The following is a 26,516-nucleotide window of genomic DNA, read 5'->3' on the forward strand; positions in this document are numbered from 1 at the left end:
CGCGAAACTCCGTCTCAAAATAAAATAATCTTCTAAAAATGACAGGGCCAGGTGGGGTGGCACTTTTTTATAATCCGAGCACTTTGGGAGGCTGAGGTGGGCAGATCGCTTGACATCAGGGGTTTGAGACCAGCCTGGCCAACATGGTGAAACTCCGTCTCTACTAAAAATACTAAAAATTAGCTGGGCGTGGTGGCGGGTGCCTGTAATCCCAGCTACTCGGGAGGCTGATGCAGGAGAATCGCCTGAACCAGGCAGATGCAGGATGCAGTGAGCCAAGATTAAGACACTGCACTCCAACCTAAGCAATACTTTGTCTCAAAAATAAAAAAAAGCCTGGGAAACAAAGTGAGACCCCGTCTCTACAAAAAAGTCAAAAAATTAGCTGGGTATGGTGGCAGTGATGGCACACACCTGTAGTCCCGGCTACTTGGGAAGCTTTTTAATATTTTTTGCAGAGACCGGGTCTCACTCTGTTACCTGGCCTGGTCTTGAACTCCTGGGCTCCAACAATCCCCTTTCCTGGGCCTCCCAAAGTGCTGGGATTACAGGCATGAGCCACCGTGCCCAGCCTCAAAGCATATTTTAAAGGATAGAAATAAACAGCCATATGAAGAGATACAGACAGGGCGGTCTGGAAGGGTCCAGAGCAGGAGCTTCTATCTCCATAGAGTTGGGGTTACGTCACCCTCTGGGCACATTCTGTCAGCCTCCACACGTTCAGCCCTCAGAAGCTCCCGAACCCTGTCCTTTGGGCCTTTTATGGAGAACTCCATTGGCTGTCCATGACTGAAGCATGGACAACTGTGATAATGTGATTGGGCAAAAAGGGTCTGATCTAAGCCCAGCAAGGCCAGTCCAGATTCTTTGGGCCTTTGTGCAGCATTCCTTTCTCCAGGGTATGGGGCAAGGACCCACTCTGGAATGAGGATCCTACAACCCACAATCAGATTAGAGTCCTGCCTTGGGCAGCTGAAAAGAGGACAGGAGAAGGTCAGAGAGACGAAAGGCTGTTTTTTGAGGCCTGAGGCACCCCAACATGACAACGTAAGACTGTAACCATGGTCATGTGAGTTATGAGCTAGGAACCCTGGACGAAACCAGCACATATACAATCATCTCCCACCTCCCAACGCCTTTACTTTCACAGCCTCTGCAGCAAACTGCGGTCACTATAATCGCTCCTGTGGCACAGAGGCATACCCAGGGGAATCTGCCCAGGGGGCCACTCTGTGCCCACGTGGGAACCCACACCTGCTTGTAAAGCCTCCCCTCCCTCTGACCAGCAACCAGGACAGTTTGTTGTTCCAAGCAGTGGGCTCATGTCTGTTTTGGCTCAGAACAGGGTGGGGAGAGCGGGCCAGGGACCCGCAGGAAGGCTTATCCTTGAGATTGCGTGGGAGACACAACAAGGGGTGGGGGCCCGCAGGCGGGGCGGGGCGAAGCAGGTGATATCAAGCCCAGAGCCCCAGCCTCTCCCCACAGTCTCACCATGGCCCGCACCGTGGTGCTCATCACCGGCTGTTCCTCGGGCATCGGCCTGCACTTGGCCGTACGTCTGGCTTCAGATCCATCCCAGAGCTTCAAAGGTATAGATAGGCAGGGACAGGGAGGGAGAGAAGGGAGGAGCCCTTGGAGGCCAGAAGGGAAGTCAGATCTTCCTCCTCTCCCAAAACCTCCAGTGTATGCCACGTTGAGGGACCTGAAAACACAGGGCCGGCTGTGGGAGGCGGCCCGGGCCCTGGCATGCCCTCCGGGATCCCTGGAGACGTTGCAGCTGGACGTAAGGGACTCAAAATCCGTGGCCGCTGCCCGGGAACGCGTGACTGAGGGCCGCGTGGACGTGCTGGGTGAGCCTCCTGGAAGCATATGGGCTCCTAGGAGCCTTCTCCGCCCTGCGTTGAAACCAACATGTTCCCAGGCCCAGGGAGCACGAGGGGACAGGCCGTGCTGAGGGTGATGCTGAGGCGGGCTGGTCGGGCCTCTTGTCTCCGCAGTGTGTAACGCAGGCCTGGGCCTGCTGGGGCCGCTGGAGGCGCTGGGGGAGGACGCCGTGGCCTCTGTGCTGGACGTGAATGTAGTAGGGACTGTGCGGATGCTGCAGGCCTTCCTGCCAGACATGAAGAGGCGCGGTTCGGGACGCGTGTTGGTGACCGGGAGCGTGGGAGGATTGATGGGTGAGTGGTAGGGAGTGGCCTCGGCAGCTCCAGATTCTTTGTGTGCGGAGCTGAGCCTTGAAGGCAGGTTCCGCGGGGGGGGTGGAGTGGGGTGCCGTCAGCTTGGAGGGGCACCGTCTGCCCGGGGATGACCCCCTGGCCGCTGCGCCTCAGGAACCTCGTCTCCCCACCTAAGGGCTGCCTTTCAATGACGTTTATTGCGCCAGCAAGTTCGCGCTCGAAGGCTTATGCGAGAGTCTGGCGGTTCTGCTGCTGCCCTTTGGGGTCCAGTGAGTCAACACCCCCGTTCCCCGAACCCTCTTAACTCTGACCTAGAGACGCCGAGCACCCTGTCCTGCGGGAGCCGCTCTGGGGCGATCTCCCTGGCCCTCTCTGCCCGGCTCACATTAGCTGTGTGCCAGGCACTTGGGCTGGGCGCATGGCACGCATTGTGCCACCTGCTGACCTAGCTGCTGAAGTGTTGGTATTGTTATGGGGAAGCTCCAGCCCAGAGAGGTTAGGTGACTGGCCCAAGGTCACACAGCGGCCAGGGACCCCGCTAGATTCGAATCCTGACACCAGGGCTCCCTTGTAGCCTCAGATGGATTTGGGAGGGCTGCTCCGGCAGGAACCCGCGTTTCAAATGTTCTGGTTATCCCCAGCGCCCTTTCCGCCTCACTTCCCAGCGCAGCGGTGCTGCTCGCGGTCGGGGGCCGGGACGTGGTTGGGGCTGGGACTGGGGTTGGGGCTGGGACTGGGGCCTGGCTGGCGTCCGCCCCCTCCCACTCGTTGCTCTCCGGCCAGCAGCTTGAGCCTGATCGAGTGCGGCCCAGTGCACACCGCCTTCATGGAGAAGGTGTTGGGCAGCCCAGAGGAGGTGCTGGACCGCACGGACATCCACACCTTCCACCGCTTCTACCAATACCTCGCCCACAGCAAGCAAGTCTTTCGCGAGGCGGCGCAGAACCCTGAGGAGGTGGCGGAGGTGAGCGCCGGGCTGGACTCCAGGAGTGGGGGCGGTGCGTCCTCCGGCGCGCAGCGGTGGCCACAGCTCTCCTCCCGCCGCCGCAGGTCTTCCTCACCGCTTTGCGCGCCCCGAAGCCGACCCTGCGCTACTTCACCACCGAGCGCTTCCTGCCCCTGCTGCGGATGCGCCTGGACGACCCCAGCGGCTCCAACTACGTCACCGCCATGCACCGGGAAGTGTTCGGCGACGTTCCGGCAAAGGCCGAGGCTGGGGCCGAGGCTGGGGGCGGGGCCGGGCCTGGGGCAGAGGACGAGGCCGGGCGCGGTGCGGTGGGGGACCCTGAGCTCGGCGATCCTCCGGCCGCCCCGCAGTAAAGGCTTCCTCAGCCGCTGTCTCCCGCGCCCTTCTTTGTCCCCTGGGTCTGTGTGGTCCCTGGGGATGGGGCGGCGGTAGCAGCTGTGGGTGGCTAATTAAGATAGATCGCGTTAGCCAGTTTTACCAGCGCAGCTAGGCGCGATGGCTGTCGCCTGTAATGCCAGCGCTTTGGGAGGCGGAGGCAGGAGGATCGCTCAAGCCCCGGAGTTGGAGACCAGCCAGAGCAACACAGTGAGACCCCCATCTCTACAAAAATAAAGAAAATTTAAAAATCAGCACAGTGGCACCATTCCTTGAGCCCAGGAGTTGGAGGGTGCAGTGAGCATGATGGGGCCACTGCACTCCAGCCTGGGTGACAGAGTGAGACCCTGTCAATTAATCAAATGAACCAACCAACCGAAAAACTCAGAAACCAAGGTCCAGAAAGAAGCCAGCCCAGGATCACACCTCAAGTCCATATTAAAGGCCAGACACAGTCTCTGGATAACCAAGGGGCATCTGCAGGAGGAGTTAGGTGGGAATTGGCTTGGGGTAGAGTCAGGTTGTGACTTGGACCCCATTAGCCATGAGACCTCAGGCAAGTTCCTTGCTTTCTCTCAGTCTTTCTTTTCTTTCTTTCTTTCTTTTTTTTTTATTTTCTGAGACAGAGTTTCGCTCTTGTTGCCTAGGCTGGAGTGCAATGGGGCAATCTCGGCTCACCACAATCTCCGCTTCCCAGATTCAAGTGATTCTCCTGCCTCAGCCTCCCAAGTAGCTGGGATACCGGCTAATTTTGTATGTTCGGTAGAGACGGGGTTTCTCCATGTTGGTCAGGCTGGTCTCAAACTCTCGACCTTAGGTGATCCGCCCGCCTCGGCCTCTCAGATTGCTGGGCATACAGGCATGAGCCACCGCGACCGGCCCTCTGAGTCTTTCTTATCTGTAAAATGGGTATAATAATACCTATCTAATCGGTTTTAGTAATGGTGGAGATAATGCCTGAAAGTGCTAGTATAGAGGTTTAATAGCCAGCAAGGACTGTTATTAGAATGAATAGTAATATGACTACTGTCACATTTTGCAAATGTGTAAAGAAGAAAGAGGGCTAAGTGAATCAAAGGGAGACAGCCCCACTCACCCTGTTCTGCCCCAGAGGACTGAGCGATCCCCACCATCTGGCAAGCTGCCTCACCAGGAGGTCCAGCTGGGGCTACAGGACTGGCTACTTTGCTACAATGGCCCGTCTTTCCTGAGCCCAGTGGAGGGTCCCAGGGGGGCAGGAGTCATTGATAGGGGCCAGTAGGGTTGTAGAGCCACTGTCTGAACTTCTGTGGAGGTCTGGTGCAGGGGAGGTGTGAACAGATAGGAGGCTAGGTGAGGATGCAGCAGAGGAAGGGGGCAGGAGTGCCCCAGGAGGGGGCGGTACCGAGGCAGGGATTCAGCTGGGTCTGAGAGGGAGGCAAGGCTGAGGGGGATGGCCCTTTGGAGTGGGCAGGGACATGACCACAGAAAGCCTGGGAAGTGGAAACAGACAGGAGCCTGTTGGAGCTCTTGGAGCTTTGTGTGGGGCACTGGGGGAAGGAGGCAGGCACTCCACCCTGACCTGCCCCTACCTCGGATGAGGGTCTTCTCTGCCTGTTGGATGATGTGCTGCCCCTGCTCTTGGAGGAAGAGGCCTCCCAGCCACCCCCTCCTGCCAGTCGCCCTGACCTGCTGACCCAGACAGATCTGCTATCCCTACAGCATCCAGGAAGGCCACAGGGAGGGGGCCCAGGTGGCATGGGTTTCTGAGGCCTGGGATCTGCTCTCAGTCCCGCTCTCGCCAACCCCCTTTGCCCCTCTGTGACAGTGTGTGTACATATGCGTGCATGTGTGTACCTGTGTGGTGTGGCTCACAAGGTCACCCCTGGGGGTGGGATAATAAGAGGTAAAGTGTGACCCCCTCTCTTCCGTACATTCATTTTTTCAAGCTTGTGAATATTCACATTGTTAATATAATCTTCTGCAGTCCCATGACTTCGAATAGCACTTAGATGCCGATGACCCCCCCACCAAAGAAACCCCACTGTCTCCCACAGACTCCAGGTCTGTATCTCCAACTGCCTACTCAATACAACACGTCCACCTGATGCAATGAACTTAATGTGTCTAAACCCCAATTCCACATTTCCAGTCCTCCTACCGGCTCCTCCCCCAGTCTTCTCTACTTTACTGTATGACAACTCCATTTTTCCCAATACTGGTTTTAAAAACCCTGGAGTAGTCCTTGACTCCAGTCTCTCTCACCTTTCAACCAATTCAGCAGCAAATACTGACAGCTCTACCTTTGCTCATCAAAGCATATTCCAAAATCACCCTATTCGAGACTGCACACTGTCATCTTTCCCTTCAATTACAGCAGTAGCCTCCTAACTAGTTTTCTTGATTCCACTCTTGCCCATCAGCAGTAAAATTAGCACAGTGCATTTAAAATGATCTTTTAAAAATGACAGGGCCGGGCGTGATGGCTCATGCCTATAATCACAGCACTTTGTGAGGCTGAGGCGGACGTTATTGCTTGAGGTCAGGAGTTTGAGACCAACCTGGCCAATATGGTGAAACCCTGTGTCTACTAAAAATATAAAAATTAGCCAGGCATGGTGGTGGGCGCCTGTAATCGCAGCTGCTCCAGAGGCTGACAAAGGAGAATCTCTTGAACCAGGGAGGTGGAGGCTGCAGTGAGCCAAGATTGGGACACTGCACTCCAGCCTGGGCAACAGAGACTTTGTCTCAAAAAAATAAAAATTGGCCGGGCGTGGTGGCTCATGCCTGTAATCCCAGCACTTTGGGAGGCCGAGGCGGGTGGATCACCTGAGGTCAGGAGTTCAAGACCAGCCTGGCCAACAGGGTGAAACCTTGTCTCTACTAAAAACCCAAAAAATTAGCCAGGCGTGGTGGCACGTGCCTGTAATCCCAGCTACTCAGGCGGCTGAGGCAGGGGAATTGCTTGAACCCCGGAGGCGTACGCTGCAGTGAGTGGAGATTGCGCCATTGTACTCTAGCCTGGGCAACAAGAGTGAAACTCCATCTCAAAATAATAATAATAAAATTAAAAAAAATTTAAAATAAAAAAGGGAGCCTGGGCAACAAAGTGAGACCCCGTCTCTACGAAAAAACAAAAAAAATAGTTGGGTGTGGTTGCACACATCTGTAGTCCCAGCTTCTTGGGAGGCTGACATGGGAAGACTGTTTGAGCCCAGGAGGTTGAGGCCACAGTAAGCTGTGGGCACACCACTGCATTCCAGCCTGGGCAAGAGAGGGAGACCCTGTCTCATAAAAGAAAGAAAGAGGCCAGGTGTGGTGGCTACGCCTGTAATCCCAACACTTTGGGAGCCCAAGGCCGGTGAATCACTTGAGATCAGGAGTTCGAGACCAGCCTGGCCAACATGGTAAAACCCCGTCTCTACTAAAAATACAAAAATTAGCTGGGCGTGGTAGTTTGTGCCTGTAATCCCAGCTACTCGGGAGGCTGAGGCAGGAGAATCGCTTGAACCCGGGAGACGAAGGTTGCAGTGAGCTGAGATTTCTCCACTGCACTCCAGCCTGGGTAAAGAGTGAGACTCGGCCGGGTGCGGTGGCTCATGTCTTTAATCCCAGCACTTTGGGAGGCCGAGGCGGGTGGATCACCTGAGGTCAGGAGTTCAAGACCAGCCTGGCCAACCTGGTGAAAGCCTGTCTCTACTAAAAATAGAAAAATTAGCTGGGCGTGGTGGTGGGTGCCTGTAATCCCAGCTACTCAGGAGGCTGAAGCAGGAGAATCACTTGAACCTGGGAGGCAGAGGTTGCAGTGAGCCGAGATCATGCCGTTGCACTCCAACCTGGGTGACAGTGAGACTCTGTCTTAAAACAAAACAAAAGAAGCAAAGTTTATTTTGCTCAGAGCTTCACAGTTTTAGGGGCTGGAAAGTGCAAGAACTTCATGCAGTATCTGGCAAAGGGCTGTCCCAGGATGGAAGGGCAGAAGGTGGAAGCAAATGAGAGACACGAAATTGGGCCAAATGTCGTCCATCCATCAGGAGCCACTCCCATGATAACAGTATTTATCTATTCAAGAGGGCAGAGCCCTCATGATCTAATTATCTTTTTTTTTTTTCTCCTGCCTCGGCCTCTTGAGAAGCTGGGATTTTAGGCGCATGCCACCACACCCCGCTAATTTTTGTACTTTTAGTAGAGACGGGGTTTCACCACGTTGGTTGGGCTGGTCGCAAACTCCTGATCTCAGGTGATCCACCTGAGATCCACCACTTTGGCTTCCCAAAGTGCTGAGATTACAGGAGTGAGCCACCTCGCCCAGCTGACCTAATTACCTCTTAAAGGCCCCACCCTGCCCAGTGCAGTGGCTCAGGCCTGTAATCCCAACACTTTGGGAGGCTGAAGTGGGAGGACTGCTTGAGTTCAGGAGTTGGAAACCAGCCCAGGCAACACAGCAAGATCCTGTCTGTATGAAAAAAAAAATTTTTTTTTTAATTAGCCAGGTGTGGTGGCACACATCTGTAGTTCCAGCTGCTCAGGAGGCCAAGGCAGAGGACTGCTTGAGCCCAGGCAGTTGAGGCTGCTGTGAGCCATGATCAACCCACTGCACTCCAGCCTGGGGGACAAGAGTGAGACCCTGTCTCAAAGAGAAAAAAAGTCCCATCTCTTAAGACAGTAGCAATTGAATTTTTTATTTCAACATGAGTTGTGGCAGGGACATTCGAACCATAGCACCAAGGTTCTCCCCAAAGCTCTCCAAGACCTTCTTTGATCTGGTTCCTGCCCCCTTTCTGATCTCATCTCCCACCAATCTCCATCTACATCACCCAGTTCAGCCCTCCTGCCTCAGGGCCTTTGTACTTGGCCCCCTCTGGGTCACATTCCCTGATCTCTGATTCTATGTCTTCCTTCAGATTTTTGCTGTTTTCCTGAACCACCTTATCTAAAATAGCCTCTCAGCTTCTCCACTATAGCTCCCTTACTCTGCTTTACTTTTGTTCTTATCCTTTATCACCAGTAGATATATTATGGATTTGGGTTTTTTAATTTAATTTTTATTTTTTTTGGAGACGGAGTCTCTCTGTCACCCAGGCTGGAGTGCAGTGGCGTGATCTCGGCTCATTGCAATCTCTGCCTCCCAGGTTCAAGCGATTCTCCTGCCTCAGCCTCCTGAGTAGCTGGAATCACAAGTACCGCCACCACACCCAGCTAATTTTTTGTATTTTTAGTAGAGACGGGGTTTCACTATGTTGGCCAGGCTAGTCTTGAACTCCTGACCTCAGGTGATCTGCCTGCCTCAGCTTCCCAAAGTGCTGGGATTACAGGCGTGAGCCACCGCGCCTGGCCATGTATTATAGATTTATTTATGGTGGCATGATTCCTGTCTGCAACCCCAAGACACACAGTACTCTATACCCCAGGATGGCAGGGACATTGTTTTGTTCACTGGTCCATCCCTGTGGGAGGCAGTAAAATACACATTTACTCAATAAAAATGACTCTGTATGTGGTGTGTCAGACTGTGTGTCCAGATGTCTTGGGACATTCTCTGGCAGCCTTTGCTGTTTGTGTCTTCAAATCAGACCCTATCTTTAAATCTAACATGTCTCCTGTGAGAAGCCTGGTCCCTTAATACCTTTGTGGCTCTACAACTCTTCCCTCCTTGACTGTATCTCTTCCTCCAGGTCTTTGCTGTTTTCCTGAATCACCTTATCTAAAATAGCATCTCCTTTTCTCCATCATAAGCCCAGGTTTTGTGGGGCTGGGGGCTTATTTGCTTTTGGAGACCGTCTTCAAGAATACAAAAGATAAACACAAAATTACATATAAAAGTGAGTTTTGTTTTTTTTTTTAAGTTTCGGATACCACGGCACATTACTGGAATCTTGGAGACTGGCTTCTCTCCCTTTTGATCTCCATGCACAACTTACCTGAGATGTATTCTAATAGCAACCTGGCTTCCCCTCCACACTCAGCCTTTCAAGCGCCCATTAGCTTCGCAGTAAATCTCCCACACTAGGTATCCAGCCTTTGCCTTTTTCTTTTTTCTTTTTTTTTTTCCAGAGGGAGTTTCGCTTTTTTTTTTTTTTTTTTTTTTTTGAGACGGAGTCTCACTCTGTCACCCAGGCTGGAGTGTAGTGGTGCGATCTCGGCTCACTGCAAGCTCTTCCTCCCGGGTTCACGCCATTCTCCTGCCTCAGCCTCCCGAGTAGCTGGGACTACAGGCGTCTGCCACCATGCCCGGCTAATTTTTTTTTGTATTTTTAGTAGAGACGGGGTTTCACCGTGTTAGCCAGGATGGTCTCGATCTCCTGACCTCGTGATCCGCCCGCCTCGGCCTCCCAAAGTGCTGGGATTACAGGCGTCAGCCACCGCGCCCGGCCGGGAGTTTCGCTCTTGTTGCCCAGGTTGGAGTGCAATGGCACAATCTTGGCTCACCGCGACCTCCGCCCACGGGTTCAGGCGATTCTCCTGCCTCAGCCTCCTGAGTAGCTGGGATTACAGCCATGCGCCACCACGCTCGTCTAATTTTGTATTTTTAGTAGAGACAAGGTTTCTCCATATTGGTCAGGTTGGTCTCGAACTCCCGACCTCAGATGCTCTGCCCACCTCGGCATCCCAAAGTGCTGGGATTACAGGCGTGAGCCACCGCGCCCAATCAGCCTTTGCCTTTTTCTCCTGTCCACAGAGACCCCGCAAACAAGCGCATCAGAGGATCTGGGTGGTGCGAGAGCCTCCTACAGCAGCCAGGTACACACAAGGCCTCAGTTTTTCCATCTGTGAAATGGGTACGTGGACAGACCTGTCCAGTAGCCTCCCATGTGAGAATCCTCGGACTGAGAGGGTACTAGGAGGGCTAATACAGCGCAGCCCTGTGATTCCCCACCTCTGTCCCTGGAATGAAGGAAATCTGGGTGTTAGTTCTGGCTTTGCCGATGCCTCTTGGGTGGCCTGGCTGAAACTAATCTCTCCTCATCAGGCCAGAAGGGAATCTGTGAAATGGGCTTTGAAACCTGCCTTGCCTTTCTCCGCCCGGTCCCAGCGGGGGTCCGATCGGCATCAAGGCTTCACCCACTCCCAGAGCCTTCGGGATCAGCCCCACCCCATCAGCAGGACACAGCCCATGCCACTGGAAATCTCGCGAGAATCCCGCGCTGAAGCGAAGTCGAGACGTTTGACCTTCCTCCGTTTCCGTAGTTCCGAGTTGCGGTTTCTCCGTTAGTGCTTCCGGGTTGCAGCCAGGGAAGCCTCCGCGGTGGTGCAAGTGGAACCCAAGCCTTGAGGTTTCAGTGAGTAGGGGGCCGACGTGAGCTTTAGCGTCCCCCTTTAGCCTCCCTCTTCGATTCCTTGAAGACCCTGGTGCAGCTTAGCAAGAGGGCCCAGGATTTTTGGATCCCCAGCCCTGTGACAAGGGTTCCTGTCCAGTTTCCCCCTCCCAGGATTTCGACTCAGTTCAGCGAAGTCACCGCCCCGTCTGAGAAATGAGGACACCAAGGCTTAGAGCACAGCCCCGAGGCGCCGTCTACCAGGCCCCGTCCCCTCCCCCGGCTCCTGTCGGTCAGCACTGAAACCCCGTCCCTGCTCCAGGCCTCCTTCTCTGGGGTCCAAGGTCCCATACAGGCCTCTGCCTCGGCCGCAGGCCCTTCAGTCACCGTCGCCTCGTCTCCCTGACTGTCCGCAGGCCTGGGCAGCATGGCCGTATTCCGGTCGGGTCTCCTGGTGCTGACGACGCCGCTGGCCTCCCTAGCCCCTCGCCTGGCCTCCATCCTGACCTCGGCGGCCCGGCTGGTGAATCACACACTCTATGTTCACCTGCAGCCGGGCATGAGCCTGGAGGGCCCGGCTCAGCCCCAGTCCAGCCCCGTGCAGGCCACGTTTGAGGTTCTTGATTTCATCACGCACCTCTATGCTGGCGCCGACGTCCACAGGCACTTGGACGTCAGAATCCTACTGACCAATATCCGAACCAAGAGCACCTTTCTCCCTCCCCTGCCCACCTCAGTCCAGAATCTCGCCCACCCGCCAGAAGTCGTGTTGACAGATTTCCAGACCCTGGATGGAAGCCAGTACAACCCGGTCAAACAGCAGCTAGTGCGTTACGCCACCAGCTGTTACAGCTGTTGTCCGCGACTGGCCTCGGTGCTGCTATACTCCGATTATGGGATAGGAGAAGTGCCCGTGGAGCCCCTGGATGTCCCCTTACCCTCCACGATCAGGCCAGCTTCCCCCGTGGCCGGGTCTCCAAAGCAGCCGGTGCGTGGCTACTACCGTGGCGCTGTCGGTGGCACGTTTGACCGCCTGCACAACGCCCACAAGGTGTTGCTCAGTGTCGCGTGCATCCTGGCCCAGGAGCAGCTTGTGGTGGGAGTAGCAGACAAAGATCTGTTGAAGAGTGAGTAAGAGGGACCCTGGACTAGGGTGGAGGATCCCCAAATCTCCCCACCCCCGACCCTTATGCCGAGATCAAGGAAGGGTAGGGCCATTCATTACTTCCCACCCTTCCCAAATGTCACAGTGGTTGACACTCAATTGGTGCTAAGGCCATTTTGTCAAATGAACAGCTTTCTCAGCATGTGGTCCAGTCACCACTCAATCAGAATACCCCAAATGTGAAGCAAAGGGATCTGCATTTTAGCAAGTTTTCCAGGTGATACACCCTAATGAGACACTGGGAATGAATGGGTGAGTGAGCTGCAGGTAGCAGTGCCACAGACAGGAGGAGGAAACTCAAGCATGGCATGGGTCTTGGAATTTTCCATCTGCCTCTGATGCCCTCTGGCACTGCTCGTTCTCTGGAGTGGTTTCCTGGTGGCTTATTCTCTGGACACATGCCAGCCCTTGGAGTGACTATTGTGCTTGCCTGTTTCTTCACCTTCATGCTCCCCTCACCATCACCATAGGCCTTACCAGTTGAACCCTTTCTGCCACCCCCTCTGGGGATACTGTACTTAGGGACACTTTTTCCCAAACTGGCCCATACTCTCCTCCCCAATAAAAAGATCTCACTGTTCTTCTGGGCTCCTTCCCCAGGCAAGTTGCTCCCTGAGCTGCTCCAACCTTATACAGAACGTGTGGAACATCTGAGTGAATTCCTGGTGGACATCAAGCCCTCCTTGACTTTTGATGTCATCCCCCTGCTGGACCCCTATGGGCCCGCTGGCTCTGACCCCTCCCTGGAGTTCCTGGTGGTCAGCGAGGAGACCTATCGTGGGGGGATGGCCATCAACCGCTTCCGCCTTGAGAATGTAACCCCTGAGGGAGACTGGCAGAGGGAGTGGATGGGGGACGGGGAAGGCCATTTTGAGGGGGCTGTTGGAAGTACCATGGCCCCAGAGGAGAGAAGTGGGGGCTCAGGGTGGTGGGAAGAAGCAAGGAGGAACTGGTTCTCAGTTTGCCCGCTGAGTCGGAGGAGGAGGAGCCTGGGTAGGAAGGGGAGGATGGGGGGGCAGGTTGGATGTCAGGGTCTTCCTCTCACTCCCTCCTTCCCTCTTTTTACCCTTTCCTCTTTACCCCAGGACCTGGAGGAACTTGCTTTGTACCAGATCCAGCTGCTGAAGGACCTCAGACATACAGAGAATGAAGAGGACAAAGTCAGCTCCTCCAGCTTCCGCCAGCGAATGTTGGGGAACCTGCTTCGGCCTCCATATGTAAGCTCCTCTCCCTCCTTCCCTCCTGCTTGGTGTCCTGGCAATGCTGGAGAGTAGAAGCTGAGGGGCTCAGCCCCAGGCATGAGGCTGAGGGCCCCAGTAACTGTGGGTTCCCTTTCACCTATCCCCAGGAAAGGCCAGAGCTCCCCACATGTCTCTATGTAATTGGGCTGACTGGCATCAGTGGCTCTGGGAAGAGCTCAATAGCTCAGCGACTGAAGGGCCTGGGGGCGTTTGTCATTGACAGTGACCACCTGGGTCATCGGGCCTATGCCCCAGGTGGCCCTGCCTACCAGCCTGTGGTGGAGGCCTTTGGAACAGGTAATAACTGGGGAAGGCTGAAAGTGGCCTGGAGTGAGGAGCTAGCCAGGCCTCTGTGCTCAGTTGTCTGTCTGTGTTGTCCAGATATTCTCCATAAAGATGGCATCATCAACAGGAAGGTCCTAGGCAGCCGGGTGTTTGGGAATAAGGTAAACAATAACTTCCTAAGGGCTCCTAAGCCGCTACTAGACCCAGGGGTCAGGGTCCAGTGGACCTCTCTGGTCTGGCCCAGAATGCCATTTCCATTGATCTGTTCCCAACACCACCTTGCTCGGGCTGGCTGCCTCTTCTAGAGAAGGTAACCTCTGCCCTCTGTTCCCCTCCCCAGAAGCAGCTGAAGATACTCACGGACATTATGTGGCCAATTATCGCAAAGCTGGCCCGAGAGGAGATGGATCGGGCTGTGGCTGAGGGTGAGTGGGAGGGAGGATGGCAACAGCTAAGGGGACAGTTAAGCTGTTTCTTCCCCTGGGAGCTTCCCTGCCCAACGTGGGACTGTCTGTTCACCCTGGGACTGTGTTCTGCCTGGGAGAACGTCGGCACTGCTGGCGGTGACTGGGGTCTCCCCACAGGAAAGCGTGTGTGTGTGATTGATGCCGCTGTGTTGCTTGAAGCCGGCTGGCAGAACCTGGTCCATGAGGTGTGGACTGCTGTCATCCCAGAGACTGAGGTATCTCGCCCCACCCCCCACACCATCCCTACTGCAGATCCTATCCTGTGAGCTGGAATTCTTCCTGACAAATGTCTCGTCTGTGCTCAGGCTGTAAGACGCATTGTGGAGAGGGATGGCCTCAGTGAAGCCGCGGCTCAAAGCCGGCTGCAGAGCCAGATGAGCGGGCAGCAGCTTGTGGAACAGAGCCACGTGGTGCTCAGCACCTTGTGGGAGCCGCATATCACCCAACGCCAGGTTGGTGCCCAGGGCAAGGCCGGGTTGTGGGGAAGGAGTCTCCAGTGGGTACTGCCTGACCCTGCCCTCTCTTCCTCCCAACATCCTGGCCTGTCTGAAGGTGGAGAAAGCCTGGGCCCTCTTGCAGAAGCGCATTCCCAAGACTCATCAGGCCCTCGACTGAAAAGTTCTCAGTGGGGCCAGACTGGCTCCTGGAGCTGACAAGCGACCCCGTGGTGAGGAGAAATGGGGGCCTTGATGCTCACCCTGGTTCAGGCCCAGAGGTCCAAGCTATACTGTGCAGGACATGGCCAGGCCTGGTGGACACAGGAAGCCTACCCAACACGCTGGTATTTGGCCAACACTGAGGATGTGGTTCATGGGGGAGCAGTCCCCTCCCCACTCTTGCCCATGGGTGACTCTTACCCACAGCTGACTAGGGCCAGCGCAAATACTGGAACCTGTAACAGAATTAAAGGTGAATGTTCTGAGATGTTGCTTGTATGGTGTCTGCTTCCTGTTCCAATGCCCCTAAGTATCTTTGGGATCCTTAAGCCACAAGTGCAGGGCCCAGGCCTGAGCTGGAAGCCTGGGCAATGCAGTGGTTAAGAGAATGGCCTTTGAGGCTAGCCAGAGGCGAGCTTTGGCCCTCCCACTGACCAGCTGTGTTCTTCTGAGTAAGGTGTAGACTTTCTAGGTACTGCCGTGTTTTATTGTTTTTGTTTTGTTTTTAATATGAGAGGCCGCATAACCTAGCTAGCAGGTTCTTTGCAAGGGTTCATTCCACATGCATCCTGCCAGACACTGGGCTGGGTGTTGGAAGATCAGCCTTCCGCGCGCCAGGCGGGGCCTCTGCCCTCACAGAGCTTGCAGCCTGGTGGGGTCGGACGATGTGGCTGGGGGCTTCTCTGCCCGGTTCCTGACACACCGGCCAGCAGTGCAGGTCCGGTGAGCGCGGGGAGGCCGCCCTCAGGGTAACGTGGGGAGCCGGCCGGCCGGACAGTGCGCGTGCACACACTATCTGCGGCGGTGTGCTGACAAGCCAATTGAGGGGACTCCATCTTACAAAACGCGCTTCATGTCGCCGCCATTCCACTGCCTAACCCGGGGAGGGCAGGCACGGCGGGGAGCAGTCTCGAAGGAGGCTGGCGCCAGGCCAAGCGCCGGGCCTTGACGGCTGGAACCGTGGAGTAAAGTCTTTGGGCTGCGCATGCGCGATGCTTCGCCCTGCCCCACCTCTCGGTCGCGGATTGGCGGGCGCGGGTCACGTGGGCACGCCACCCGCTTCCTCGCCGCAGGGGGCCCGCCCGCTGGCCCGTTTCCGGTCCGGTGGGTACAAGATGACGGAGCCGGGCGCCTCTCCCGAGGACCCTTGGGTCAAGGCAAGCCCCGTGGGCGCGCACGCCGGCGAGGGGAGGGCGGGTCGGGCTCGTGCACGTAGGGGGGCCGGAAGACGAGGGGCTTCCCTCCTGTCCCCAAAGTCCCCCACGCTCTCCGTGCCCCGGGGCTGCAGAGAAGACAGCTCTCACCCCGCGTGTGCCAAGGTGGGGAGACAAACGAGGCGTGTGCGCGCGAGTCGGGGGAACGGGGCACTGGGGTGGAGTAGGGGCGGAAGGGATCATACACAGGGGAGGCACTCGCACGCCCTAGCCTGTGCCAGTCTCGGGGGACTCATTAAGCTGCCCGCGCACCCCGGGCTGTGTGTGTGCAAGCGCGCAGGGTGACAGAGGCGCCTTCCCGGAATGGGGGGCGCGCTGTGCGTGCCTGCAGTGGAAGGGGCGCCTCCCCCTAGGGGCGGAGGTCTGACGGGCCCTTCCCGTGCTCTGTGCCGCAGGTGGAGTATGCCTACAGCGACAACAGCCTGGACCCCGGTGAGTAGCTGCCCCATCTTAAGCTCTAGAGGGACACTCCCGCCCAGGCTCTCTAGATTCTTGTGGCGTTGCCAACCACGCCTGAGCACAGTCCACTCTCCCTGAGCAGAGTTCCTGGCTTGAGACAGCAGGAGCTGAAGGACAAGGGCAGAAAACAACTGAGGGTGACACCTAGTTCCCTCTGCTCTGGAACAGGGAAGTGGTGGAACTGATCACTCACCACTCAGTGGAGCAGCTGATCACTCACACCCTCATCACGTCCACATGCCCGTTTGTGAGCCAGGGGGGTATCATGCAGGCCTATGGAGCAGTGTAGACACTAGGGAGCAGAGCACTGCAGCGTGGTCTGGCAGGAAGTGGGGGGCCCAGTATGGTTGGCTTTGGGTTGAAGGGAAGAGGTCAGCATTTAAGAAAGCCATTGTGTGGCCGGGCGCGGTGGCTCACCCCTGTAATCCCAGCACTTTGGGAGGCCGAGGCAGGCGGATCACGAGGTCAGGAGACCGAGACCATCCTGGCTAACACGGTGAAACCCCGTCTCCACTAAAAAATACAAAAAAATTAGCCGGGCGTGGTGGCGGGCGCCTGTAGTCCCAGCTACTCGGGAGGCTGAGGCAGGAGAATGGCGTGAACCTGGGAGGCGGAGCTTGCAGTGAGCCGAGATCGCGCCACTGCACTCTAGCCTGGGCGACTGAGCGAGACTCTGTCTAAAAAAAAAATAAATAAATAAAAGAAAGCCATTGTGTCCTACAGGTGTCTGAGGGTCTGGCAATGTTCCCCACCCCACCCCTTAGTGATTGGGGCCTCTCTTTTCCAGGGCTTTTTGTAGAAAGCACCCGCAAGGGGAGTGTAGTGTCCAGAGCTAATAGCATCGGTTCCACCAGTGCCTCTTCTGTCCCCAACACAGGTAGGCAGTAACATCCCCCCCGACCTCGGGGGGCTCAGATATGTCATAATTGTAGTACCTTTCCTAGACAGGGAAGCCCCAGCCATCCACACAGGGGTGCTGGAGCCAAAGTATCAGACACAAGGTCTCACCATCTTTCACCTCATCTGGAACATTAGGTGGTTCTGTCCATCTGCCTTCTCTGGACACCAGGTTCTTCCCAGCTGGGGAAAGGTGGGCTAGCTGGACCCCACTGGGCCCCAAGATGACCTTTCCCTGCCCCCATCTCTGAGCGTAGATGATGAGGACAGTGATTACCACCAGGAGGCCTACAAGGAGTCCTACAAAGACCGGCGGCGGCGCGCACACACTCAGGCTGAGCAGAAGAGGAGGGACGCCATCAAGGTGAACAGGGAGGCCTGTGCCTCAGCCAGTGCGGGAGGGCCCTGCATAGTTTAGCTTCCCTGTGCCCTGACCCACTCAGACAGTCCCAGGCACCCTAGGGGGTGGGCAGGTAGTATAGTCCCAGGCACAAACACCTCCCTTGCAGCCTTCCCACCCCATTGAGTTTGTGAGCATAGAACTTGGTGTCATGGAGGAACTTTGTGCCATTTTGCTTTAATCTCTCAGGGTTAAAGAACCCATTTCCCCTGCTGTTTCCACAGAGAGGCTATGATGACCTTCAGACCATCGTCCCCACTTGCCAGCAGCAGGACTTCTCCATTGGCTCCCAAAAGCTCAGCAAAGCCATCGTTCTACAAAAGAGTATGGCTAGGGAAAGCACTGGAGGGGATGGAGCCAAGCGGGGCTGTGAAGAGGCCAGTGCCTCCTACCCACCCATGGCTCGGCCTTGGTGTGGTGATTGCCATGGGATAGTTGGGGTCTGGGGTAAGGGGAACAAAGTCAGCCTTATCTTCTTGGTTGAGAATACTTCTGTACCTGTCCTTTTTTTCTTGCCCCCACCCTAGCCATTGACTACATTCAGTTTTTGCACAAGGAGAAGAAAAAGCAGGAGGAGGAGGTGTCCACGTTACGCAAGGATGTCACCGCCCTAAAGATCATGAAAGTGTAAGAGGGGTGCTGAATGGGGGGAACCAGAACTTCTGAGGCAACTTCATTGCACACCCTCCCTTGTTCAAAGGCCACATCAGTTACTGCTGTACAGATAATACTCTTAGTTCCTGAGCTAGCCAGTAGGACTGTGTATCCCCAACTGTCCTTACACATGGCAGACACTCAGGAAATGCCTGTTGGATTAATGTAAGGAAGGTTGGAGAGAGAGGGCCACCTTTCCTGACCTGGAAGCAGTATCTCCCTGATACTGAACCCCACCCAGAAGCTCTCTGGGGCTGCCATTCCTGGGAGTACACAGGATAGTCCCGTCATTCTTCTTGGGTGGGCGGAGCTGCTGCAGCACCTCAGCCCTGGCCTGCATGCTTTTAGGAACTATGAGCAGATTGTGAAGGCACACCAGGACAACCCCCATGAAGGGGAGGACCAGGTCTCTGACCAGGTCAAGTTCAACGTGTTTCAAGGCATCATGGATTCCCTGTTCCAGTCCTTCAATGCCTCCATCTCAGTGGCCAGCTTCCAGGAGCTGTCAGCGTGTGTCTTCAGCTGGATCGAGGAGCACTGTAAGCCTCAGGTATGGGGCAACAATAGGCACAGGGTCTGCGGTTTTCTCTACCATCAAGCAAAGTGGCCCAAGCCATCAGCTGTTGAGAAAAGCGTGGCAGCTGCTTTTAGATCTTAAGGGCGTTTCTACAGCTTTGAGGGCCCTGGTATTTTCCCTTTTCTTTGCTGTCTAACCCACATCTTCATGTTACGGTTTCATTCGGCAAGTGTGACGTGAGCTCAATGTGAAGTCCAGCTCTTGGCTTTTGTCTAGCCCATGTTATCGCTGCCCCTGTATGGAAGCCCCAGGCATCTGCAGCAGAATTGGAAACGCAAATTCTGGGACCCTACCTTTAGGCCCCCTAAAGTAGTTGCCCCAAGAGCTTTTTAAAAATTTATTTATAATGGAGATGTGCTAATGGTATTGCACTAAGTCTTCTAATTGAAGTCTGGTTGCTTTTTCTGAGGTTTTAAACTTGTGTCTGAGATTTCTTGTTTGTTTCTCAACATTTTTTTTTTTGAGACGGGAGTCTCGTTCTGTCGCCCAGGCTGGAGTGCAGTGGCACAATCTCGGCTCACTGCAACCTCCGCCTCCCGGGTTCACGCCATTCTCCTGCCTCAGCCTCCCGAGTAGCTGGGACTACAGGCGTGTGCCACCATACCTGGCCAATTTTTTGTATTTTTTAGTAAGACGGGGTTTCACCGTGTTAGCCAGGATGGTCTCGATCTCCTGACCTTGTGATCCACCCGCCTCGGCCTCCCAAAGTGCTGGGATTACAGGCATGAGCCACTGTGCCTGGCCTCGTTTCCCAACATTTTTATTGTGAAACACATTAAACATATTGCGATGTTGAGAGGAGTTCACAGTGAACACTCGTATACCCGCTCCCTAAATTTTACCGAAACATTTTACTATATTTCCATCTCTCCATCTTGCTTCAGGAGCACCTCAAATTAAACTGCAGACATCAGTACTTCCTGGGGGCTTTTTTTTTTTTTTTTTGAGACGGAGTCTCACTCTGTCACCAAGGCTGGAGTGCAGTGGTGTGATGTCAGCTCACTGCAACTTCCACCTCCTGGGTTCAGGCGATTCTCATACCTCAGCCTCCTGTGTAGCTGGGATTACAGGCATGTGCCACCACACCTAATTTTTGTATTTTTAGTAGAGACGGGGTTTCACTATGTTGGCCAGGCTGGTCTTGAAATTCAGGTGATCCACCCGCCTTGGCCTCCCGAAGTGCTGGGATTATAGGCGTGAGCCACCACACCTGGCCCCCGGGGGGCTATTTTTAAAGCACTTTTCTAAAGTACATGGCTGATCTAGGCAGGCATCTTGGAAACTACTCTGCGTTGACTTGGGCATTGTCTATTTCTTCCTCTGCTGCCCTCGCCAGACCCTGCGGGAGATTGTGATTGGCGTCCTGCACCAATTGAAAAACCAGCTTTACTGACCGGTTCTTGGAAACCTGGAGAACAGCCAACAAGAGGCCCTTGAATCTCTACGTGGCCACTGAACTGCTGGGCCCGGGAGACTGGACTACAACACCTCACACTGGTCAGCTGGTTTCTACTTGGTGTTTGGTTTTTCCCAGCCCCATTTTATCTTCAGCGGAGCCGCGGTGTTTGTTTTGTGAAAGCTTCTGATTAATTTATTATATTGACGATAAAACTCAAACCTACCCAGCCTTCCCCCCACTCCATGGAAGTCCTTGGGATGGGCGTCTGCTCTGGACACCCCAAAGAGCTCCTGCCCTCTCAGCCCTTTATTCAAGCCTCAGATTTCTGCTCATGATCTACATAGATTTGGAAACTGTTTTCCTCTGTTTTGGTCTCTTGGGCAACATTTTTGGCCCAAGTTTGGGCAACATTTGGCCCAAGTTTGGGCATTTTGGCAGTAGCTGTATGGGAGAAAAAGAGTAAGAGGAAATATTCCCACAGCCATGAAGGGTGAAAGGGCACCTTGTGCCTAGACTAGGGCTGCCTGGTCAGTCCCAGGTGAGGCCAAGGGCTTTCTGGCCATCTCAGGGAGGGGCCACCAGGTTCCTCCCCTCACCCCATATTCCATCACCTTCCTCCTCTGCTCTGGGTGGTAAGGGAAGCCCTCCCGGTTCCCACAGGCTATGATGCTGCATGGCAGAGGCAGGTATAACACAGCACTACATATTGGAAATTTTTTATTTTTCTAAATACCAATGCAGTTTTGCTACGGTTACAATTTTGAAATATTAACTGAGCCTCAAAATCACCCTTTCTGTCAAGCATATCTTGGCCTCTCCCATGTCTCAGTGTTGCCTGCATTTCTCCCAGGACTTGGGGGTGGGGTGAAAAGCGTACAAAAGATACTTAAAAGGGCTCCTGGGGTACACAAGCCCAGCAGGTCCTGAGTGAAGCCGTGGGCCCTCCAAATGCTCGTTTTATAGCAACCTCTCTCTACCCTAGTTCTCCAAATTCACTTCTGCCTTCCTCAGGTTTGATATCTGGCAGGTTTGACTATCCAGAGGAAATTAAATATTTTTATATAAAATTAAATTATAATAAATATTGCCAAATGCTTTCCTTTAGCATTGTTCCAAGTCTAAATGTTAACCTCAAGCTACTGCAATTTAGACAATGAAATGGGCTGGGTCTACCCCCAGCCACCAGCCCTCATCCTCTCTACCCAGTGCTCTGGTTTATGCTTGTCTCCTGACTGCTCTGCTTAAAGGTGAAAGTAGCAGGAACAACAACAAAAGCCAACCAAAAACAAGGTAGCCAGTGCAAGACATCTCACTCTTCTGACATCCTGCAGTCCCCACCAGTCCTGACCGTGGGCCCCTCAGGGGTCTGGGAGTGTGACGTTGTAATCTTCATCCGTCTCTATCCCAACTTCCTCCTGTGAGACAGGGAGACAAGTGAATGAGATGTCACCAGGATAAGACCACAGGGAAGCAAAGAAGGAAGAGAGCTCCACTTACAAAGAACTGCTTCTTGCTCTTGGGGTATCCTTCAAGTATTGCATCAGACAGCTCTGTAGCCTGACAAGAAATAAAACCACCCGTTTTCAGATGGGCAGCACTGGGCACTGCCTGTCAGTTTATGATATTGTGTAGCGGCTGATCTGGTGCCTGCCATTTTCAAAGGCACCTCCAGGGCCTGTCTCGGAGCTCCCACACACTTACCATCCTCTTCCTCTTCCTCCACTCCTTACAGTACTTCTGCCTCTCTCTGTACACCTAGAAGGAAAAAGCAAGTTCCTCTAACTCCTCAGAACCACAGCAGCCCTCTGGGGCTCAGCCCTGATGTTCACTCTGGACCTGCACAGCGGTCCTACAGCCTTCCAGCTCACCTGCTCTTTCTCTTCTGGAGTCACATGATTGGTAGCTGCTTTAATGTTCTTCAATCTCTCTCTGTAGCCAGCGCATTCCTTCTTTAACTCCTGGATTTCTTTCTGCATCTCTGGTGTGGTCAGGGCACTAGATAATTCCTTGAGCTCTGAAACCACATCCGCCTGGGGTCACTTGCTACCCCTGAGGAAGGAGTTCTGTCTTTCCCAGTGGGTGCTCCCTGAGGTGTTCCACCTTGCTCTGGATCTATCATCTCACATGGAAACTAAGCCATACAGGATTATTTATTCTTCTAATTTTCTTTCCTCCTCCATCTACAAGTGGCGTGGGTGTGAGGTTGAACACTTACTTAGGCGTAGCCAGTTAAAGAAGCAGGAATAAAGGGAAACGTGGGGACAGTGTACTGATAATCGTGGCAGGGAGAACAAATGCGTATCTTGTCCATTTGTTGGTACACAAAAGCCGTTAGTTATCCTACATTTCTTTTTATGCCTAAGGGAGCCCAGCAAAGGGGTCTTAGCTGCAACAAGATGCTGCAGTCATTGAACCATTCATTTAGTAATTCCTGACCTCTAGAATGAACCTAAGCCTATGGGCACTTTGGAGGGGCTACCCAGTCCTACCAGCCTCCATGTAGCGGCAGCTCTGCTGCAAGCTCTGCACCTTAGCAGTGAGGGCCACGATTTTGCCATCTAGGACTTGAAGGTCAGCATCACTCACCATGTCAAACTGGTCCTGCCAGACAAAGAGGGAAAATACAAGTGAACTGTTGTGAGGCACAAAGATGGGAACACACACCTGGGAAGGCACCATTTGGATATGCTCAGGAACCAGCCACACCCCAAAGTCTCCAGAGGGTCTGCAGAAATAGTGGGAGAGTACTTTTGAGAAATTGTTTTCAGTTAAGGAGCGGCCCCACTAAAAAGGTAGGAAAGAAAAGCTGAAATCTAATGCTTGTCCTTAAGCTACTAGGTTGACAGGATACTGATTAGGACAGAAATCTTCCCATTTAGTGATAAAACCACTACCTGGGCTGAAGCAGTTAAGTAACATTGTTCCCACGGTGGGGAAACCTAGATCATGGGTTTCCATAATAGATAGAAACTGGACAGGTGAAGAAGCATGATGGATGGGATGGATGGACTTCTTTTCTTCTTCCTTCCTGTCCTTTCTTCCCATCCTTCTTTCCACCTTCCTCTCTCCCTCCTTCCTTCCTTCCTTTTTCCTCCCTCCCTCCCTCCTTCCCCCTCCCTTTCCCTCTCTCTTTCTCTCTCTTTCTCCCTCCCTTCCCTCTTTTCCTCTCTTTCTTTCTCTGTCACCCAGGCCAGAGTGCAGTGGTGCAATCTTGGCTGACTGCAACCTCCGCCTCCTGGCTTCAAGCGATTCTCATGCCTCAGCCTCCTAAGTAGCTGGGATTACAGGCGCGCACCACCAAGCGCAGCTAATTTTTGTATTTTTAGTAGAGAAGGGGTTTCACCACGTTGCCCAGGCTGGTCTCAAACTCCTGGGCTCAAGTGATCCATCCGCCTCAGCCTCCCAAAGTGCTGGGATTACATGCATGAGCCACTATGCTGGGTCTTGGGATCCATGTAGATAAGGGATTCCAGTAAGTCTGAGGAGCTTCTCTCATGAGGGGCCATTGCTAGAAAAGAACTGCACTGGGGATCAGTGTGGGGGTGGGGGAGGTCACATCAGTTGGTGATGGGGAGCAGGTTGAAAAAGTATGCCAGCCAGTGCAGTCTGGACTCTACACTTGGGCAAGGTGAACCTATAGGGCAGAGGCCAGCAAACTATGGCCAGCAAGCCAAATCCTGCCAGATGCATGTTTTTGAAAACAAAATTTTATTGAAACAGCCCCACCCGTTCATTTACATAGTCTACAGCTGCTTCTGTTCTACAGTGGCAGAGGTGAGTAGTTGTGGCAGTTGTACAGCCAGCCATGACAAGAGATACATATGGCCCACAAATCCTAAAAATACTGTCTGGCCATTTGCAGAAAAAGTTTGCCAAACCCTCCTTTAGAGAATTATCTTTAGATGAGTAACACAATGCAGCCTGTTTTAGGAAAGTCAGCCTTAAAAGTGGTTTGGTTCAGTTTAACGAGTAATATCTGCTGGATGTTAGATACTGCGGAGGTGCTGATCAGATAAAAATGAATTGAGAAATGGGGTCTGCCCTAGAGGAACTTCAGTTGAATAAAGGAGACAAGTAAAAATTGTAATACAGCATGCCTCAAAAGAGGTAAGGGCCAGGCTGGGCACAGTGGCTCATGCCTGTAATCCCAGCACTTTGGGAGGCCGAGGCGGGTGGATCACGAGGTCAGGAGATCAAGACCATCCTGGCTAACACGATGAAACCCCATCTCTACTAAAAATACCAAAAAAAAAAAAAAAAAAAAATTAGGCTTCGTGGCGGGTGCCTGTAGTCCCAGCTACTCTGGGAGGCTGAGGCGGGGGAATGGCGTGAACCCAGGAGGTGGAGCTTATAGTGAGCCGAGATTGTGCCACTGCACTCCAGCCTGGGTGACAGAGCGAGACTCCGTCTCAACAACAACAACAACAACAATAACAAAAAGAGATAAGGGCCTGAAAAAGAAACAATTAGCTCGGAGCATTCAAGGAAGATTTCTGGAAAAGGTGATGTCTAAGTGAAATCCTCAAGGAAAGAAAGAGCTGGCCAGGAAGAGAAGCAGGTACAGGGAAGACAACATGCAAAGGACAGAGCAGTAAAACACACCAGAATTATCTAGTGTTCGTGGATAGAAAAATAATGAGGATTGGTGAGGCCAGAGGCTGGCTGGGGCGTCTTCCGGTGCCTTTTACATGTTTTTTGCAGCACTAGAGAGCCATTGAAGAGTTTTAAATAGGGAAGGTGCATGACCAGATCTATTTAGACAGATCATTCTGACTGCAATGTTTAAGAGTTTAAGATATGTTTGAAGAGCCAAGATCTGTTAGGAGGATACTGCAACAAATAAAGAGGGCGTGAACTAGAGCAACCATGGCAGATGGAAAGGAGAGTGGATTCAAGAATGGAAAAATTAGCCAGGCTCTGTGGTTCACGCCTGTCCTCCCAGCACTTTGGGAGGCCAAGACAGGAGGATCACTTGAGCCCAGGAGTTGGGACCAACCTGGGCAGCACAGTAAGACCCATCTCTATAAAAATTAAAAAAATAAATAAAAACGGAAAAATCAGCTGGACTTGATGGTTGACTAGTAAAGGAAGTCAAGAATTGCTCCCAATTTCTGGTTTGGGTGAAGAGTAATTCCATTAGGGGAGGAGAATGTTAGAAAGAAACCAGTCCGGGGTGGGGGGAAGATGAGGCATTCTACTGTGGCAATTTTGACTCTGATATTAATGCCTGACAGATTCCAGCTGGAGGTCTGGGCTGGAGAATATAAATTTGATATGTGTGTTTAGAGAATCGGATGGAGGCAGGAGGAACATCATTTGGCAGAGGGTGTTGCTAATGTAGATGATAAGGAATAAGAGCTTTGGAGCGGAAATGGATCTTGGTAGCAACAATACAGAATCTTCTGTCATCCATCATATTGTAAATCTGGAAACCTCGTGAAGTTGGGATCCTAACAAGAGGAGTACACACCTTGATTTAAGGATGGTGGCCTAAGACAGGTGAGTTTTCCATGGGGGGCCTTGTCCCCAAAGAGTTCACACCAGGAGTAGATTCACCCGTTGTCGGGCTCTCATGGGTGACAATCGGCGCAAGTTCTCCTCACCTGATCCGCAAAATAGATCTTCTGCTTGCCGTACATCTTCTCTTTGATCTTGCCTTGTTGCGCCAGCTGCTCCAGCGTCTTCACCACCACCTGGCAGAGGAGAGAGAAGGAGCAATCAGAGGAGTCTGAGCCTGGGTCTGGGGAAATCCAGCCAGTGATGTGGAAAACGCCCAAGGCTCCAAAGGGCACGACCCCAGCCTGAATCCAGGGAGTCCGACGGAGAGGGAATCCCGGGAGAAGGTCCTCACCGCCTTGCCCAGTCCGTGTTCCCGCTGTAGGTTCCCGAACACATCCTGGGAGCTGTAGGGCCGGTTCTGCTCCTGCAGGTACCTCAGGAGGATCCCGGCGGCTACGGAGAGAAAGGCAGGGGAGGGGGCCACTCAACCGACCTCCTCACCCACTGCCCTCCCGGGTCTTCCCCGCGCCCACGGCGCCGTTACCTCCCGCCGCAGCTTCTGCCCGGCCTTTACTCATCGCCTTTCCCGCCACCCAACTCAGAAAGCCGGACGTTGTAGTTGCTCGGGGCGACGGCTCCTTCCGGCGACGGGGGCGGGCCTCGAACGGTGATTGGCTGAAGGGGAAGCCTTCCGGAGGAGCAAAGCGACCCCTCCCGGACTCCATAGTTCATTTCAGGTCGGAACTTGCGCATTCGGGCCGGACCTCAAGCCATGGGCCTCTGCGAAGGCGCCGGCGTGCCCACGGCTAAGAAACTTCCTCTTTCTGCTCCCGGGAACGAAGGCTGTAG

At 53.8% G+C, this 26,516-nt stretch overlaps 4 protein-coding genes and 1 long non-coding RNA gene across 22 annotated transcripts, besides 20 other annotated features; 3 read left to right on the forward strand and 2 right to left on the reverse strand.

Moving 5' to 3' along the window:
• Positions 576-1,119: a mobile genetic element.
• Positions 576-1,482: a biological region, named in NCBI's record as "HSD17B1 promoter". NCBI's record gives its function as "regulatory_interactions: HSD17B1".
• Positions 940-956: a transcriptional cis regulatory region, noted in NCBI's record as "FP2 site". NCBI's record gives its function as "important for transcriptional activity" and the evidence as "EXISTENCE:site-directed mutagenesis evidence [ECO:0005528][PMID:10433203]".
• Positions 972-1,005: a protein binding site, noted in NCBI's record as "RARE; include FP1 (PMID:10433203)". NCBI's record gives its function as "positive regulation of promoter activity" and the evidence as "EXISTENCE:protein binding evidence [ECO:0000024][PMID:8614400]".
• HSD17B1-AS1 (HSD17B1 antisense RNA 1) lies at positions 995-3,361 on the reverse strand. Its single transcript, NR_144402.1, has one exon. It is a non-coding gene; the product is annotated as an HSD17B1 antisense RNA 1 (long non-coding RNA).
• Positions 1,370-1,407: a protein binding site, noted in NCBI's record as "HSD-GATA". NCBI's record gives the evidence for it as "EXISTENCE:protein binding evidence [ECO:0000024][PMID:9231796]".
• Positions 1,406-1,482: a promoter, noted in NCBI's record as "-78/+9 core promoter". NCBI's record gives the evidence for it as "EXISTENCE:reporter gene assay evidence [ECO:0000049][PMID:8614400, PMID:9231796]".
• Positions 1,415-1,448: a protein binding site, noted in NCBI's record as "HSD-AP-2/SP1". NCBI's record gives its function as "may negatively regulate promoter activity" and the evidence as "EXISTENCE:protein binding evidence [ECO:0000024][PMID:9231796]".
• Positions 1,427-1,446: a protein binding site, noted in NCBI's record as "HSD-SP1". NCBI's record gives its function as "positive regulation of promoter activity" and the evidence as "EXISTENCE:protein binding evidence [ECO:0000024][PMID:9231796]".
• On the forward strand, positions 1,482-3,773 carry HSD17B1 (hydroxysteroid 17-beta dehydrogenase 1). 3 transcript variants are annotated; one of them, NM_001330219.3, is made up of 6 exons: positions 1,482-1,589; positions 1,683-1,850; positions 1,998-2,177; positions 2,353-2,446; positions 2,961-3,141; positions 3,228-3,773. In NM_001330219.3, the coding sequence occupies exons 1-6, from the start codon at positions 1,493-1,495 to the stop codon at positions 3,495-3,497; spliced, it is 990 nt and encodes a 329-aa protein (NP_001317148.1). In that variant the 5' UTR covers positions 1,482-1,492; the 3' UTR covers positions 3,498-3,773. The 3 variants fall into 3 exon arrangements, 2 of the variants coding, with proteins under 2 accessions (NP_001317148.1, NP_000404.2); NM_000413.4 differs by having other exon boundaries at positions 2,964-3,141; NR_144397.2 differs by lacking the exon at positions 2,353-2,446 and having other exon boundaries at positions 2,964-3,141.
• Positions 3,126-3,693: an enhancer, noted in NCBI's record as "H3K27ac hESC enhancer chr17:40706585-40707152 (GRCh37/hg19 assembly coordinates)". NCBI's record gives its function as "activates a minimal SCP1, AML or CMV promoter by ChIP-STARR-seq in primed H9 embryonic stem cells {active_cell/tissue: H9 hESC(primed)}" and the evidence as "EXISTENCE:reporter gene assay evidence [ECO:0000049][PMID:30033119]".
• Positions 3,343-3,502: a silencer, noted in NCBI's record as "silent region_8536". NCBI's record gives its function as "represses an Ori minimal core promoter by ATAC-STARR-seq in GM12878 lymphoblastoid cells {active_cell/tissue: GM12878}" and the evidence as "EXISTENCE:reporter gene assay evidence [ECO:0000049][PMID:35858748]".
• Positions 4,509-5,056: an enhancer, noted in NCBI's record as "H3K4me1 hESC enhancer chr17:40707968-40708515 (GRCh37/hg19 assembly coordinates)". NCBI's record gives its function as "activates a minimal SCP1, AML or CMV promoter by ChIP-STARR-seq in naive H9 embryonic stem cells {active_cell/tissue: H9 hESC(naive)}" and the evidence as "EXISTENCE:reporter gene assay evidence [ECO:0000049][PMID:30033119]".
• COASY (Coenzyme A synthase) lies at positions 10,707-14,836 on the forward strand. 7 transcript variants are annotated; one of them, NM_001042532.4, is made up of 11 exons: positions 10,707-10,778; positions 10,915-11,046; positions 11,171-11,881; positions 12,520-12,734; positions 13,005-13,136; positions 13,268-13,457; positions 13,542-13,606; positions 13,786-13,870; positions 14,030-14,127; positions 14,218-14,364; positions 14,465-14,836. In NM_001042532.4, the coding sequence occupies exons 2-11, from the start codon at positions 10,971-10,973 to the stop codon at positions 14,525-14,527; spliced, it is 1,782 nt and encodes a 593-aa protein (NP_001035997.2). In that variant the 5' UTR covers positions 10,707-10,778; positions 10,915-10,970; the 3' UTR covers positions 14,528-14,836. The 7 variants fall into 7 exon arrangements, with proteins under 7 accessions (NP_001035997.2, XP_011523602.1, NP_001035994.1 ...); XM_011525300.2 differs by having other exon boundaries at positions 10,915-11,881; NM_001042529.3 differs by lacking the exon at positions 10,915-11,046.
• Positions 10,783-11,032: an enhancer, noted in NCBI's record as "active region_12206". NCBI's record gives its function as "activates an Ori minimal core promoter by ATAC-STARR-seq in GM12878 lymphoblastoid cells {active_cell/tissue: GM12878}" and the evidence as "EXISTENCE:reporter gene assay evidence [ECO:0000049][PMID:35858748]".
• Positions 11,043-11,232: an enhancer, noted in NCBI's record as "active region_12207". NCBI's record gives its function as "activates an Ori minimal core promoter by ATAC-STARR-seq in GM12878 lymphoblastoid cells {active_cell/tissue: GM12878}" and the evidence as "EXISTENCE:reporter gene assay evidence [ECO:0000049][PMID:35858748]".
• Positions 13,911-14,417: an enhancer, noted in NCBI's record as "H3K4me1 hESC enhancer chr17:40717370-40717876 (GRCh37/hg19 assembly coordinates)". NCBI's record gives its function as "activates a minimal SCP1, AML or CMV promoter by ChIP-STARR-seq in naive H9 embryonic stem cells {active_cell/tissue: H9 hESC(naive)}" and the evidence as "EXISTENCE:reporter gene assay evidence [ECO:0000049][PMID:30033119]".
• Positions 14,418-14,924: an enhancer, noted in NCBI's record as "H3K27ac-H3K4me1 hESC enhancer chr17:40717877-40718383 (GRCh37/hg19 assembly coordinates)". NCBI's record gives its function as "activates a minimal SCP1, AML or CMV promoter by ChIP-STARR-seq in naive H9 embryonic stem cells {active_cell/tissue: H9 hESC(naive)}" and the evidence as "EXISTENCE:reporter gene assay evidence [ECO:0000049][PMID:30033119]".
• Positions 15,131-15,180: an enhancer, noted in NCBI's record as "active region_12208". NCBI's record gives its function as "activates an Ori minimal core promoter by ATAC-STARR-seq in GM12878 lymphoblastoid cells {active_cell/tissue: GM12878}" and the evidence as "EXISTENCE:reporter gene assay evidence [ECO:0000049][PMID:35858748]".
• Positions 15,521-15,920: a silencer, noted in NCBI's record as "silent region_8537". NCBI's record gives its function as "represses an Ori minimal core promoter by ATAC-STARR-seq in GM12878 lymphoblastoid cells {active_cell/tissue: GM12878}" and the evidence as "EXISTENCE:reporter gene assay evidence [ECO:0000049][PMID:35858748]".
• MLX (MAX dimerization protein MLX) lies at positions 15,659-21,762 on the forward strand. 3 transcript variants are annotated; one of them, NM_170607.3, is made up of 8 exons: positions 15,659-15,887; positions 16,178-16,214; positions 17,029-17,118; positions 17,396-17,502; positions 17,763-17,862; positions 18,066-18,165; positions 18,541-18,742; positions 20,106-21,762. In NM_170607.3, exons 1-8 carry the CDS (start codon positions 15,684-15,686, stop codon positions 20,160-20,162), a joined length of 897 nt encoding a protein of 298 aa, NP_733752.1. In that variant the 5' UTR covers positions 15,659-15,683; the 3' UTR covers positions 20,163-21,762. The 3 variants fall into 3 exon arrangements, with proteins under 3 accessions (NP_733752.1, NP_937847.1, NP_937848.1); NM_198204.2 differs by having other exon boundaries at positions 15,659-15,725; NM_198205.2 differs by lacking the exon at positions 17,029-17,118 and having other exon boundaries at positions 15,659-15,725.
• Positions 15,938-16,445: an enhancer, noted in NCBI's record as "H3K27ac-H3K4me1 hESC enhancer chr17:40719397-40719904 (GRCh37/hg19 assembly coordinates)". NCBI's record gives its function as "activates a minimal SCP1, AML or CMV promoter by ChIP-STARR-seq in naive H9 embryonic stem cells {active_cell/tissue: H9 hESC(naive)}" and the evidence as "EXISTENCE:reporter gene assay evidence [ECO:0000049][PMID:30033119]".
• Positions 16,321-16,410: an enhancer, noted in NCBI's record as "active region_12209". NCBI's record gives its function as "activates an Ori minimal core promoter by ATAC-STARR-seq in GM12878 lymphoblastoid cells {active_cell/tissue: GM12878}" and the evidence as "EXISTENCE:reporter gene assay evidence [ECO:0000049][PMID:35858748]".
• On the reverse strand, positions 20,869-26,390 carry PSMC3IP (PSMC3 interacting protein). 8 transcript variants are annotated; one of them, NM_001256016.2, is made up of 9 exons: positions 26,212-26,288; positions 26,020-26,120; positions 25,772-25,861; positions 22,875-22,893; positions 22,658-22,769; positions 22,037-22,182; positions 21,870-21,923; positions 21,666-21,725; positions 20,869-21,583 (listed from the first exon to the last, which is right to left on the reverse strand). In NM_001256016.2, the coding sequence occupies exons 5-9, from the start codon at positions 22,755-22,757 to the stop codon at positions 21,527-21,529; spliced, it is 417 nt and encodes a 138-aa protein (NP_001242945.1). In that variant the 5' UTR covers positions 22,758-22,769; positions 22,875-22,893; positions 25,772-25,861; positions 26,020-26,120; positions 26,212-26,288; the 3' UTR covers positions 20,869-21,526. The 8 variants fall into 8 exon arrangements, 5 of the variants coding, with proteins under 5 accessions (NP_001242945.1, NP_037422.2, NP_057640.1 ...); NR_045670.1 differs by lacking the exon at positions 22,875-22,893 and having other exon boundaries at positions 22,755-22,769; positions 26,212-26,390; NR_045669.1 differs by lacking the exon at positions 22,875-22,893 and having other exon boundaries at positions 22,378-22,769; positions 26,212-26,390.
• Positions 26,200-26,249: a silencer, noted in NCBI's record as "silent region_8538". NCBI's record gives its function as "represses an Ori minimal core promoter by ATAC-STARR-seq in GM12878 lymphoblastoid cells {active_cell/tissue: GM12878}" and the evidence as "EXISTENCE:reporter gene assay evidence [ECO:0000049][PMID:35858748]".

Source organism: Homo sapiens, chromosome 17 (assembly GCF_000001405.40).
Source record: "Homo sapiens chromosome 17, GRCh38.p14 Primary Assembly".
NCBI classification, from domain to species: domain Eukaryota; kingdom Metazoa; phylum Chordata; class Mammalia; order Primates; family Hominidae; genus Homo; species Homo sapiens.

Coding starts and splice junctions, on each gene's coding strand:
- HSD17B1 (NM_001330219.3), top strand. CDS start 1,493: ATGGCCCGCACCGTGGTGCTCATCACCGGCTGTTCCTCGGGCATCGGC. Junction 1,590..1,682: donor TCCATCCCAGAGCTTCAAAG/GTATAGATAGGC, acceptor CAAAACCTCCAG/TGTATGCCACGTTGAGGGAC. Junction 2,178..2,352: donor GAGCGTGGGAGGATTGATGG/GTGAGTGGTAGG, acceptor TCCCCACCTAAG/GGCTGCCTTTCAATGACGTT.
- COASY (NM_001042532.4), top strand. CDS start 10,971: ATGAGGACACCAAGGCTTAGAGCACAGCCCCGAGGCGCCGTCTACCAG. Junction 13,607..13,785: donor GCCGGGTGTTTGGGAATAAG/GTAAACAATAAC, acceptor TCCCCTCCCCAG/AAGCAGCTGAAGATACTCAC. Junction 14,128..14,217: donor CTGTCATCCCAGAGACTGAG/GTATCTCGCCCC, acceptor GTCTGTGCTCAG/GCTGTAAGACGCATTGTGGA.
- MLX (NM_170607.3), top strand. CDS start 15,684: ATGACGGAGCCGGGCGCCTCTCCCGAGGACCCTTGGGTCAAGGCAAGC. Junction 16,215..17,028: donor CGACAACAGCCTGGACCCCG/GTGAGTAGCTGC, acceptor TCTCTTTTCCAG/GGCTTTTTGTAGAAAGCACC. Junction 18,166..18,540: donor GCCCTAAAGATCATGAAAGT/GTAAGAGGGGTG, acceptor GCATGCTTTTAG/GAACTATGAGCAGATTGTGA.
- PSMC3IP (NM_016556.4), bottom strand. CDS start 26,245: ATGAGTAAAGGCCGGGCAGAAGCTGCGGCGGGAG. Junction 21,924..22,036: donor CTCCAGAAGAGAAAGAGCAG/GTGAGCTGGAAG, acceptor TTTTCCTTCTAG/GTGTACAGAGAGAGGCAGAA. Junction 21,584..21,665: donor AGAGCAAGAAGCAGTTCTTT/GTAAGTGGAGCT, acceptor CCTGTCTCACAG/GAGGAAGTTGGGATAGAGAC.